At 40.2% G+C, this 13,697-nt stretch overlaps 1 protein-coding gene and 1 long non-coding RNA gene across 5 annotated transcripts in view, besides 1 other annotated feature; one reads left to right on the plus strand and one right to left on the minus strand.

Moving 5' to 3' along the window:
• Positions 360–459: a silencer, noted in NCBI's record as "silent region_5244". NCBI's record gives its function as "represses an Ori minimal core promoter by ATAC-STARR-seq in GM12878 lymphoblastoid cells {active_cell/tissue: GM12878}" and the evidence as "EXISTENCE:reporter gene assay evidence [ECO:0000049][PMID:35858748]".
• Positions 4,615–12,208, minus strand: FRY-AS1 (FRY antisense RNA 1). The gene is made up of 4 exons (NR_103839.1): positions 12,020–12,208; positions 8,144–8,235; positions 7,772–7,822; positions 4,615–6,665 (listed from the first exon to the last, which is right to left on the minus strand). It is a non-coding gene; the product is annotated as an FRY antisense RNA 1 (long non-coding RNA).
• A 134-nt stretch (positions 12,209–12,342) lies between these two features.
• The window catches only part of FRY (FRY microtubule binding protein), a 267,352-nt gene continuing 265,997 nt past the window's right edge, over positions 12,343–13,697 (plus strand). For all 4 annotated transcript variants that reach the window (XM_047429999.1, NM_001411012.1, XM_047430000.1 and 1 more), the window contains exon 1: positions 12,343–12,434. In XM_047429999.1, coding sequence (XP_047285955.1) covers positions 12,365–12,434 — 70 coding nt within the window. In that variant the 5' untranslated portion in view covers positions 12,343–12,364. The remainder of the gene's footprint in view (positions 12,435–13,697) is intronic.

A 13,697-nucleotide genomic window follows, 5' to 3' on the forward strand; every position in this document is an offset into this window, starting at 1 on the left:
GAGGAACAGAACTAACATTTTATGAGCATCTACTGGTATTGGATGCATTTCTTATGCTACCTTATATTAACCTTTACCATAACCTTGTGGTAGGGAGTATTGTTTTGATTTCATAGACAGATAAGTCAATCCCAGAAAGATTCCATAACTTGAGAAATATATCAGGGCCAGGACTAAAACTGTCCTTGTTTCCTGCCTGAAGCTCAGGGTGACTGACGGTTATCATTGTCAATGTCTAGACACGAAATATTCATCCCAGTTAGGCATGGGCCTAGGTGTTACCTCAGATCTTGAACTCACGCTGTGATATGAAAGTGGTCTCCTAGCAGTCAGGCATCTTGAGTCCTGGAGTCCAGACAGAAGGTGCCTCTACCACTAGGTGGGGATGTAGCAGCACCACAAATGAGTACACTACAAATGGAAAGACCCTCTAGAACAAAGGCGTTCAAACTTAAAAAATAAGAATAATTTATTGCAGTGAAACAACATATAATTAACCATTTTAAGGTGACTCTTCTGTGACATTTTGTACATTCGTGGTGTTACACAACCACCACTTCTATCTAGTTCCAGCACATTTCCATCACTCCAAAGTAAAAACCCCTTCACCATTAAGCAGATTCTCCCAGTTCTTCACTCCCCGTAGCCCCTGGCAACAGCTGATCTGCATTCTGTCTCTATGGATTTACCTATTCTGGATATTTCTTATAAATAGAATCATACCATATGTGACCTTTTTGTATCCAGCCTTCTTCAATTAGCATAACATTTTGGGGGTTCATCCATGTTGTAGCATGTTCCCAAACTTCATTCCTTTTTACGGATTAATAATATTCCATTACATATATATGCCACCTTTCGTTTATTCATTGATCCATTGATAGACATTGAAGACTTTGAGCTATTACGCATAGTGCTGCTATGAACATGCATGTACATATACTTGTTTGATAACTTGTTTTCATTTCTTTGGGGCATGTGTACACAGTGAAATTACAGGGTCGTATGCTAATTCTATGTTTAACTCTTTGAGGAACCATCAGATTCTTTCCATAGTAGTTAAACCGTTTTGCATTCTCACTAGCAGAGTATGAAGATTTCAAACTTTTTAAAACCATGACTCGCAATATAAAGTACATTTTACATTGCAACCCAGTATTTAACCGTGTGTATGTATACATACAAATATAACAGAGGTTTCATGAAACAGTACTCAACCTGACTGTGAATGATGCCCTCTAATGTATTCCCTCCTATTCTATGTCATTAGGAAAGTGTCTTGGTTTGACCCACCAAATTAACTCCACAACTCAAAGTTAATTTGCTATCAGTTGAAGTCACAGATATTTTCATCATCACTACAGTTGCTTTAGGCATATTGAAATATTATTTATGATCATTCTTTTATTTAAAATTTCTTATAATTATTACGCCTCTGGATAATGTTATTTAAAGCACCATTTGAAGAAGCAGGTATATACGATACCACAATTTTGTGTTTTTTTAAATAGTTGAATAACTATGTTTCAAAATAATTGCTTTCTTTGTCACCCTGTGTCTTCCACATTTTATTCATGTAAACACATTATTCTGAGAAGGAACTCATGGGCTTCGCCAGACTGCCAAAAGGGCTCATGGCACAAAAATACTTAGGAACATGCTAGACTACACTGTCCAATAAGGGAGCCATTAGCCACTTGTAGCTATTGTGTACAATATTGTGTACAATGGCTGCAAGATGGATGTGGCTAGTCCAAATGCAGATGTGCTGTCAAATACCCACTGGATTCCAACTATTTGGTACAAAAAATATTAAATGTCTCACTAATATTTTTTATATTCATTAATTATTGAAATGATTTTTGGCATATTGGGTTAAACAAAACAGATTATTAAAATTAATTTCACCTGCTTGTTGGTTATTTTAATGTAGCTACTTAAAAATTGAACACTGCGTGTGTGGTTCGCATTGCATTTCTGTTGGACATCACTGGCTTAGCACCAGATCGGAGTTCCAATCTTGTTGTTATCACAGGACCAGTAGTAATCACTGTTACTGTTACTGTCATTACTCTGCTGCGGGACCTACCCTGATAAATTTCAGTTTCCTCCTCTGGAAGTGTAGATATAAAGCCAAAGGAGAGCATATTGCTGTGCTTATTCTGTATTCAGCCTTTTTCCTAATACATTTCTCACTATTGGAATTGTCTAGTCATCTCATCTTTCATCCAGAAGTCTGGTGAAGGCCCATGTCCATGTCCCTTCCCTTATGCTTCTGCTACCCCTTGTTGTAATGAACACAAAATATAAATTATATATGGGAAAATCATATACCAAGGTAAGGATATAAGAATTCATAGACAAATAAATATTTAAAAATAATTTTAAAGGATAAGAAAAAGGGGAAACTCCCTTGAGGAGCAAAGAAGGTGGAAAATAAGGCTTGTGGTAGGGTGGAGTAGTAATTTGACCACAGTTGCCACCCATCCTGTATTTATCCAAAGGCCAGAGTGGCATTTGGATAAGACTCAGGCAAACCACCAGCACATTCCTGGAGTTGATGAATGGCCACTTAAACAGCAGGACACCCCTGGCATGTCCCTAAACCCAAAACTAAAAGTCCAGCAGGCTATTACAATGAGGGAAGGTGCCAGCATGTGTCTTTAAGGGCGATGGGCTGAGCAGGGACCACTCACCCTCTTATTTGTCTGATTCTTACACTGATGGGAGCCCTGAGAATCTAACATTAGCATCCTGGGAATACAAAGCCCTTTCATCTACATAATCTCCTTTAAGATCATGAAACAACCTTATGTAAAGGGCAGAATCATGTGTACCTTATAAATGAGAAAGAAATAGGTCAAACACATAAGTGGATCACTGAGGCCATTACTGGGTGGAGCAGGGTTTATCTGACCATGAGCTTGAGTTTCTCCACAGCTAACACTGAGGGTCAGAATCATGACCCTCCACTTCTGTTTCCTTGGGCTTCTCAGAGTGATCTCACCCCTGTGGACGGTCTGCAAAGATCATTACTCTTGACCTCACTTCTGCCTCCTAAGCTGAGCCGTGCAGTTGGAGTCGCTCTTCCCACTAGCCTGCTAAGCTGCTGCCTTCCATCATTCAGACAGTTTCTGACAGCCCCACCCTCCTACACAAAGCCCTGCCTGTCTGGTCAAAGGAGGGTGGTGATTTCCCACCCTTTCTAAAAACACGCCTTGTAAGACTTTCTCTGTCCTCTAAAATATACTTGCTCCTTCAGAGTCACATTTTCTACTACTGTACGGTTAAACATCGTCTGTGGGAGGAAAGGTGATGTATGGGTTTTTCTGCTCCACTGTTGTCGGGCTTAGACCACCATCTTCTAAAAGGCAGAAACCTGGGGTCTGTACCAGACAGCTCCATGAACAGATGGTCATTTTGAAGTCTTTGAAGGTGAAATCTGTGATGCTCAGTGAGGTATACACTTCTTTTTAAAGTGGTAGTTCCAAATGAAGTGATGCTGTAACATATCCTTAATTCCTTAGACCACTGTCCTTAATCTCAGTTGTAATAACCTGGCGTGTGACTATTGTTTATTCCTGGTTTACAAGAATTGTCTAGTTATATAGTTTCTATTGCTTTTCCTCTAAGCTGAACAAAGCACTTTGATACTACTTCATTAATTTCACAGTAGACAGCTTGATCGTTTTTATATTGATTTATCGCTTTCTAATCCCCAATTATTTTTTGGTCCTATGTCAGCTTCTCCTGCCAGTAGACAGTGTGTGTTTTCATGGATACTCTTGACATGAGCTTTATTAGAACATAACCAAGAAGGTGAATCTGTTGCCAAAAAATTAAATAATGTTTGCCAAAGAGTTACACAGAATAATTTATTACCCAGTGTTCTGCTTTTCCTATGCAATGGTTCCTCCCAGTGGTATAGAAAACCAAAGATTGGCTTGCCCTAAGAGATGAGGCAGTTTGGGGATGGGAAATAGTGTTCTTCTTTTAGTAGATAAATAACATGTCCAAGGTTATAGGATCGGGATCAAAATAAAAAGCAGAATCATGAGTTTCCTGATTCCCAGCCCTTCAACCTTTGCTAATAGGTAACTATAAACATGGTCATACCTAGAAAGAAAAAATTTTAGCACCTAGAAGGAAAAAAACGTAAAATTTAAGTAGCATGCGCTAAAAAACTATCCAAAATTTCTAGTTTTCCTCAATTTCATTGATTTGAAAATTATAGGTTTTAATAATTATGTACATTAAATGGTATCTTAAGGAAAAGTTGATCTTTCCCTTATTACTTAAACCCTACTATTTATTTTTGTGTATCAGATTGGTAACATTGGTGGGAATATTCACTCTAGCCATAAAAGGTATTTAATTTTTATCACCAAATAATAGGAGTATCACCCAATAACTTTAATACAACTATGAGAATGCTCTATTTTTTTGTTTTGCTAGATTATCATTCATACAGGGAAGAACCAGCATTTTCTTAGTTCTCCTGTAGATGGCGAATCTAAAGGGTGATGACGACTGATATAAATATAATTGTTTTTTATACTGTTAAGCATTATGTATCTGCATTTTTGGTAAATAATAATATGCAAAGTTAATGCCTTTTTTTTTTTTTTTGGAGATGGAGTCTCGCTGTGTCACCCAGGCTGGAGTGCAGTGGCAGGATCTCGGCCTACCACAACCTCCACCTCCCGGGTTCAAGCAATTTTCACGCCTCAGCCTTCCGAGTAGCTGGGATTACAGGTGCCCGCCACCACACCCAGCTAAATTTTGTATTTTTAGTAGAGATGGGGTTTCACCATGTTGGTCAGGCTGGTCTTGAACTCCTGACCTCAGGTGATCCACCCACCTCGGCCTCCCAAAGTGCTGGGATTACAGGCGTGAGCCACCGTGCCCAGCCGCAAATGCCATTTTTTGCTTCTTCAGAAGGGACTTAATATTTTATAATTATGTATTAATAGTTGGCTCCTATTGTGGCCATTTATATTTGACCTGTTTGTATCTGAACGTAAATAATTTCTCAGGTTGCTGGTGATATTCAAAAATAGGATAATAAAGTTATCATTAGTGTTGTATGCTTTCATGCTAAGGGGCATGAGGTAAATGCTGTCATGTTTTCTCTTTGCATACATGTCTTTAAATACATTAAATACTAAGTGTGCTATGACCTTATTCTGCAGAAATTGAAGTCGAATCTTTATGTGTACAAAATATGTATGAACCACAACATCTCCTGGTTTTGACTACAGGTTAATGATATCCAAATATGCAGACACTACTTTGAGAGGTTGATGAGAAGACTAAATTAGGTAAATTTTGAGATGATACTAACCTAACCGGAACCTCTAATCAAATGGAAGTTTACCCTGGGCACCAAATGTTATATGACTTAATATTACTAAAATGTTAAGTAATAGTGTTTGTATGTGCATGTGTTTAGACTTTCTTTACCTTTCCGAAACTTCCAGCCTTGTGGGCAGGTCTACCTTACCTTGGTAGCCAGCAGAGGGGGTTGGGGGTAGGGATCTCTCTATGATGACAGGTTCTCTCTCTCCTCTTTCCTTCTCTTCTCTTTTTCTAACCTGACTATGGAGTTAAGGAGGCATTTTGTGCTGCATATTCTGGGTTCATTTCTCACTACAGATTTGCTACATAACAGTTGTCATCTGCCTAGGCACTCATGTAATCCTCATAACAGATTTGTGTGACAAGGCACTAGTTTACAGACGAGGAAAATGAGGCCATGAGATGCTCAACAACTTTGCCAACAATACAGCTTTTATATGATGGAGCATGGTCTGGTCTACAATGTCACTCCCCTTCTAATTAATATCCTTTGAATATTTGTTCTTTTTTTTTTTTTTTTTTTTTTGAGACAGAGTTATGCTCTTGTCGTCCAGGCTGAAGTGCAATGGCACCATCTCAACAACCTCTGCCTCCCAGGCTCAAGCGATTCTCCTGCCTCAGCCTCCTAGCTGAGATTACTGGCACCCACCACCACGCCCAGCTAATTTTTGTATCTTTAGTAGAAACAGGGTTTCACCATGTTGGCCAGGCTAGTCTCGAACTCCTGACCTCAGGTGATCCACTCACCTCAGCCTCCAAAAGTGTTGGGATTACAGGTGTGAGCCACCGCACCCAGCCTGAATATTTGTTCTTGAAGTCACCATTCAGTTGTCTGGAGCAGGGTTGAGGGAGAGGCGCAATTTTCCTTTCACTAGCATGCAGGCCCGGGTTAACTGGTGCCCTAGTTCTAATTCATCCTAATGATGTCTCAGTGCCACTTTTAGAGAAGTGCCCAGCAGGTGCCCAGTAGGTGTGCCCCTTTGTTCAGCTTTGTCTATGCATGCCCTCTGATATACAGCCCAGCCCCAAGCCTCAATATTAGGCCTGAATAAATACCATTCTTTTACCCCACTCTAGACCTGTCAAAACACCTTGGATGACAATGGACACATGGAGGGGGCATTCCATGTGCAGAGCAGAAAGCAGGGTAAATTCCAGGCTTTTTTTCCTCCACTCCCTGCTGCCACTTCTCGGAGTCTTTTATTGTCTTCTGCTTAAACCCTTCAGGGGCTTCCCATTGTGCTAGAATTCCTCCTGATTCCTTTGTCTTGGCTCTGGGTTCCTTATAAAACCCCTTCGCAGGGGAGCTGAGTAGGAAAGAAAAAATGAGTTCTGCTGCTATGTTTCAATGATAACAATTTTAGAAGACATGATTTTTCTTGTTTATGTTTGAATCTGGACAACAACAAGCTTTGCTATAATGAAGTTGTGTTGCATTCAAAAAATTTAAATGTATTTCAATTCATTGAAAAAAATTATTTGCAGTGGATAGTAATGGAGTAAATGTTTTTCAAAACTTGCTGAATCTATTTTTGTGAAGATTTATATATGTGGGTTGGATTTTTTAAGGTAATGATTATTGTGTTTGATGCTTACCACATGGACATTGTGTGGCATCATTTCATATTTTTTCTCTAATATTTCTTAGGATGGGATAGATCCGTCCAAATCATGCATCAAAAATAGGTCAAAAGAGAAGTTTGTTATTTATCTCAACACTTTGTCCTTTAGGTTATCTCTAAAAAGCCTCTTATTCTACTGTTTAAAGAAAAACAAAACCCTTTTTCCATACTCATCACCATTGATTGTAACTGCTGTCTTTCTATCTCAATTCAGGGGATGCTTAATTTGATTTGGAGCTGTTCTTAAGATACAATGTATAATAGTGGGAATATAATATAGTTCATGCTTTTTTGGAAGTTGAGACTGCTGATCAAAAATTGATAAAGCAATTATTTTCTTGCATTTAGTGATTTTCCTTTGTTTCTTCAGGATGCTAGTGAAACATTTCTGCCTAACACATTCTGTTCATGAATGTACATGTCACTCTGTGACAGTAATTACACATGTGTACCCACGTGTATCCGTCTACAAGAAAAGGGGGTGGATTCCAATCGTAACCCAATCAACTCAATCAGATGCTTTAAAATCATTAGGTAATGGCTCTTGATGTTGGCATGCATCCAGACTGTTTGCAAGGCTTTGTTTCCACATTTTTTTTGAATGCCACACAATTTAGCCTCAAAAAAATTTTCAAAATGCTTTTAAAAAAAGAGTAAACTAAGTATGAATTAAAACAAAAAATTGCATTTCTTATACATTTTTTTCCCACAGGCAGCAGATAACAGTCAGACATGACAAGCTTGCTCATTCACTTATTCACTCAACATATGTTTATTGCATGAGGACTTACTGTGTGCTACAGAGATGTAAGGAACACAAAGCTGAGTAAGACACAGGTCTTCTGGAGGGAGAGACGGGACAGATGGTTATAATTGGGATCAAGACAGGAGGAGAGTAAATGCCATGGATTATGAGATATAGTCTCTGTATCCTTTACCACCCTCATCCCACTCTGCTACATGGCTTGCTAGGACATAGGTACATAGGTGACCAATAGGTCACTCCTTCTGACCACCTCCTTCCCATTGACCACCCAGAGCTACCACCAGCCCATGTGGTATCTTGATAAAAAAAAAAAAATAGGCACCCCTTCCTCTGGATTGAGTCCTGGGCTGATGCAGACCCATGCCAGGGTAGAAGCAGCCCACTGCCACCTCTGTACCTGCCAAATTGGAGAGTGGAGTTCAGACTAGATTTCCATCCTCAGTCACCCCATCTCCACTCTAGGTCAGACATCCTTGTAGAGACCACTGCCTGTATAATGAATCAAATTAATGTAAAAAATAAAGGCATTCTTCTCTTGGTTTCTTGGAATTGGTTACAGTCCCCAGGGAATACATCACCCAGGACAAAGCCAGGCAGGAAGACAGTGAATAGGCTGGGAGAGTCAGTGGGACCTGAAGCGCCTCTGCTGTGTTAGGGAGTACCTTAGCATCTTTCCTGAACTTTTATTTATTTATTTATTTTTATTTTTTGAGATGGAGTCTTGCTCTGTTGCCCAGGCTGGAGTGCAGTGACAGAATCTAGGCTCACTGCAACCTCCGCCTCCTGGGTTCAAGTGATTCTCCTGCCTCAGCCTCCCAAGTAGCTGGGATTACAGGCGGGTGCCACCACGCCCAGCCAATTTTTGTATTTTTAGTAGAGATGGCGTTTCGCCATGTTGGCCAGGCTGGTCCTGAACTCCTGACCTCAAGTGATCCACCCGCCTTGGCCTTCTAAAATGCTGGGATTACAGCCATGAGCCACTGTGCCCAGCCTCTTCCTGAGCTTTCTCTAAAGAACTTGGTAACCATGATTCTCACCTTGCTTGTGATTTTTAAAAAAATAAATAAATAACAAAGTTATGACAAGTGACTCAGGGTCTAAAATAGACCTAAATTTTACTAGCTATATGAGTTTGACCTTATTTTATGCCTCCTTAAGCCTCAATTTTCTCATCTGTAAAATGGGACTAATAATAGTACTTACTTCATAGGTTTGAGGTGAGTATTAAATATAAAAATATATATTTTTTTAACTACAATATTTATATTCAACAAATGTAGATGGTGTCATTTAGTGTCATCACTTGTGTCAGGCCACTTTCCGACTTTTTCCCCACTCTTTGATACCATTTTCTAAGGCCTTCCACTTTTCCTGTTATCTTTCACTCAGTCCCCAACATCTATGCCTAATTCCATGCTTGACAATTCATTGTATGTTCTCCTAATATTTTTAAGGAAGGATCCCTCATTTTTACAGGTATGAAAGCTGAGATAGCTTTAGGTCCTCTTAAATCATAACTGAAGTCACTAGCAAGCCAGGAACACATTCAGATTTTACTGTTGCATTTTAAAGTACCTCTGTCCAGGTGCCTCTTCTGACTAATTTTTTTATGCCCCCCCAGAGAGAGAGAAGACAAAAGGATAAATGTTTCAACTCAGCTTGCAGCGGGTGTCATTCTATTTGATTTGCAGGCCTTTCAACAAAACAAAAGCCCTTTTCTGTTCTTTTACAATATATGTCCTCTTTAAAGGTACTCGAATGAAGAAAAAGCATACACTGGACAAGATTTCAGGTTCTAAGAGACAGAAACTGGGCTCTTAGATGCTGATTCACTCTTCACAGTGAAAGCTAGATGGCATTGAAAACATTATTTTCTAAGTAGCATTTACATTTTTATGACCGTTTCCCTTGAAATATATATGAGTGGCATTCTCAGCAAGTTAGTATGTTTATAGTAGTTAAATACTGAAAACTTATGTATTTAAGTATTGAAAACTTTAAAAAGCCAGTTAAAAATTTTTTAAAATAAAGTCAACAGAGAGAATCTCTATATATTTGAGTAACAATATACAATAGCATGTTTGCTTATTGCAACTGATTTTAAATGTCTCCAACTTGCTCTCCCCAAATAGTTACCACTGGTGTTCAAAAGTAATATATCTTTTAAACCACATAAAGAGTAAAGAAAAAAAAGTATTTAGCTTTTTAAAAAAAAGTTCTATTCTAGAGTCACTAAGGATTCATAATAAGAATGAATGGGCCAGGCGCAGTGGCTCATGTCTGTACTTTGGGAGACCAAGGCAGGTGGATCACCTGAGGTCAGGAGTTCAAGATCACCCCAGCCAACACTGTGAAACCCTATTTCTACTAAAAATACAAAAATTAGCCGGGCATGGTGGCGCATGCCTGTCACCCCAGCTACTCAGAAGGCTGAGGCAGGAGAATCGCTTGAACCCGGGAGGCAGAGGTTGCAGTGAGCCAAGATTGCACCACTGCATTCCAGCCCAGGCGACAGAGTGAGATTGTCTCAAAAAAAAAAAAAAAAAAAAAATCAATGTAGCTAAAATTTAATGAAGTGTTAACTATGGGCAAGATACTATGCTGAGCCCCTTTCATACATAGTGTTATTTATTGTTTCCAACAACTATAGGAAGAAGGTACAACCCCATTTTACAGATGAGGAAACGAAGGCTTAGCAAAGTTAATAGCTTACTTTGGGGCTCAAAGCTAGTAAGGGCTGGTGCCAGGAGCGAACATGGGGCCCTGCCTTGAGAGCCCATGCCATCGTTAATCGCAGGGCACTGTGCAGCCTACCTGTTCATTCACTGCCATCTGAGTCTTGGCAAGCATCAGATGGGCGTAGGTATGAAATTTATTTTCAGATATAATAATTGTTTCAAGGTAAAACCTTTGGGTCTTATTTTACCTAGAATCCATACATTCAAAGTACAAGTGATAAAATCAGTTCAGCAACTCTAGTATGCACATGAATTAAAAAGAAGTCAATCTGGTGAGAGATTTCATCAGAATAAAGTGTATAAGTGGAGTTGGAAATCTGAGTGATTGAGTGCTTGCCATTTGGGTAAGTGTAATGAGTTTGAAAAACTAATTGTATTGATGAAGTATCTTAGGGCCTTTCAGAACATAGTTCTAGAAGTTTTATTTAGTGTTGAATTTTAAAAATTCTTTGTCCTAACAATAAAAGTACATTGTAGTCTTTCCCTTCCATTTTTAAAATGAACTGTTAATCTAGGAAGTCCTGTTTGTGTGTTGATTTGGGGAGTTAGCCCAACATTTGCTATGTTAAATACTTATTAACATGGTTTATTACTTTTTTCTGTTTTTTAGACAACATTAATCATGAATGTACTGGGACTTGGGAAGGATCCTGTGGTTTATGAGATAGTTGGCCAAATCCCACCTCTTCCAACATAACCTGTCATTATTAAAATATAATACTCTTATTTAATCCCCTGGTCAAGCTAAATGATAATGTGAAACAAAGCTAACCAAAATCAGGACACCTGATATCAAGAATTCATGAAATCAAGAGCCATTGTAGAGCAAGGAATCTAATGCTTTTGCTTCTTATCCTTTTCATACAAATAAAATAAGCTTCACTGGGCTTAGTGAGTCTTAGAAATGAGAGGTTTGAGAATAAGATCCATTGTGGAGTGTGTGACATTACAAAAACAAGCCAACTAAGCAGTGTGTACTGTCCCCTTAGAGTGCACACGTTCGGGCTCCGATGCCCCTTGAAAAGACTGCATTTCTGGGAGGGAAAAGTAAAAATGCAGATACCACCATGCGTGTGGAAGGCAGGGAAGAAAAAGCCCAGACAAGCGTCCTCTTGTTGAGTCTCTTTACTGCAACGAGGCTGACGGATGGGGTTTTTCAAAACGTCGCTGCAACCAGATGCAAGGCTGCAGCTTTGCTTACCGCAGCGTGCTGCAGTTGTGTTTATTTCAGGGACAGACACAAGGGGAAGCAGCAGCCAGAGCACACCCGGGCCGCTCACGGGAAGCCTTGCTGAAGAGAGAGGATCCGCAGAAGCTGGGAAATTCCTCCCGCAGCCTAGGCGGAGACTGAGCCGCGGCTCAGGTTGAGACAGTGGGCAGGGGCAGGGGGCGGCGCTCCCGGCCCATCCCTTAGCCCCGCGGCGGCCGTGTGGGCCGGAGGCTGCCTGCACCGCGTCAGGGAGGCCGGCCTAGAAACCCTCCCTCCCAGAAGAAAGCCGATCCCAGTTCAGGTGGGGTCTTCCTCGGTTGCGTACCTGGCTGGAGCCGAGCTGGTGGGCGGCCGGCAGCCGGCGTTTCTGGTGATGACAGCCCCGAAATGAAAGCAGCGCGGCCGCCGCCTCCGAGGGCTGCAGGGAGATCAGCGTCCAGCAAATAAGAAGCAAGTCCTGGACCCGGAGGAGGAGGAGCGGCCGAGCATCTCTCTCTGCTCCGCCGTGTCCTTTAGATGAGCACTCCCGGCCGGAGCCGGAGGTGGATCCGCAGAGCTGCCTCTGGGCGCCTGACCCCGCGCTGACATCACAACCTGTGACAGGCGCATCACGCCCGGTACCTGCTCCCGGCCGCTGCCCGTCCTCCCAGCCTCTTTGTATGCCGCAGACATGGCCAGCCAGCAGGATTCGGGCTTCTTTGAGATCAGTATCAAATATTTACTGAAATCCTGGAGTAATAGTGAGTAATAGAAAATAACCTTTTTGTTTGTTTGTTTGCTGGATGTTGCATAAGGCTGGAGACAGAAAATCTCAACTGGACACATATGTTTGTGAGCCGCGGAAGTTTTTCTTTTTTTCTTTTCTTTTCTTTTCTCTTTCTTTCTTTCTTTCTTTCTTTTTCTTTCTTTCTTTCTTTCTTTTTTTGCTCCCATCTGCTGTGAAAATCAAAATGTCAGAGACTGAACTAGCTTTCCTTAAGTGCAAAGGCTGCAATGGAATTACAGTAGATTGTGTTTGATTAAATTTTCAAGTGAGGCAGCCCTTCAGACTCTGGGGGAGCTCAGGATCAGGCATTCCTGGCTGCATTTCCTGCCTTGATGTTTATTTGATTTGTTCAGGCTTTCTCTAAATATTTTGTGAAGTGTGATTTAATCAAAGGGGTGTGGCAGGGTTTCAGAGTACTTTGTAATTGTTTTTTTAGGGTATTGTCTGAAGAAAGAAAAGTATTTAATAGTCCAAAACCTAGGACATCCTTTTTGTATATAGAGGCATCTGCAGATTTATTTCATCTCTCCCTCTTCCATGTGGATGATGTTCTGAATGCCATTTAATATTTGAATTTTTAAAAATCCTGATGTTTGCTATAGTCCAAATATTGTGCTTTTTTGAAACATAAACAAGTGAGGTTCTGACCCTAATTATTTATTAGGATAGCAGAATATGATGGCTCCTGAAGTTCCATTTCTGACCTACATAAGGATTTTAGCAATACGCTATTTCAAAAAGACAACCTCTAAGCTGCCGTGGATCTGGAATCAAATTAAAATGAGGCCTTCAGGTGATCAATGATGCCTTGTATTTTCCGAACTGTTTAAAAAGAAAGTCTTCTCTATTTCACTAACAGCCTTTGTACTTGCTTTGGATAAAAGATCAGCAGGTATTACTGATGCTTTATTGTTTTAAATAAAAAAATTTTTTCCCCGTGAAAATTTTAATATTGTATTATGTGCATACTGATTAACCTACCTGTGCTCAAAGAGCTAGTGATTAATTGTCTCCTACACAAATGACCTGTGGCCAAGATTGTTCTTATATAAACAAAACCTGGGCAGGAGAACCTGTGCTGCAATTGCTTTGAGGAAAAGAGCTAAAGTACCTTCAGCCTTAAGGTATTCAGGGATGTGCATCTCTAAATGATATCCATAGAAACCATTTTTTCCAGGTCATTTTGCACCACTGTATACACTATGGGGCTTGTCTGAAGCTGTTTTTCTACAAGTGG

Source organism: Homo sapiens, chromosome 13 (genome assembly GCF_000001405.40).
Source record: "Homo sapiens chromosome 13, GRCh38.p14 Primary Assembly".
Classification (NCBI taxonomy): Eukaryota; Metazoa; Chordata; class Mammalia; order Primates; family Hominidae; genus Homo; species Homo sapiens.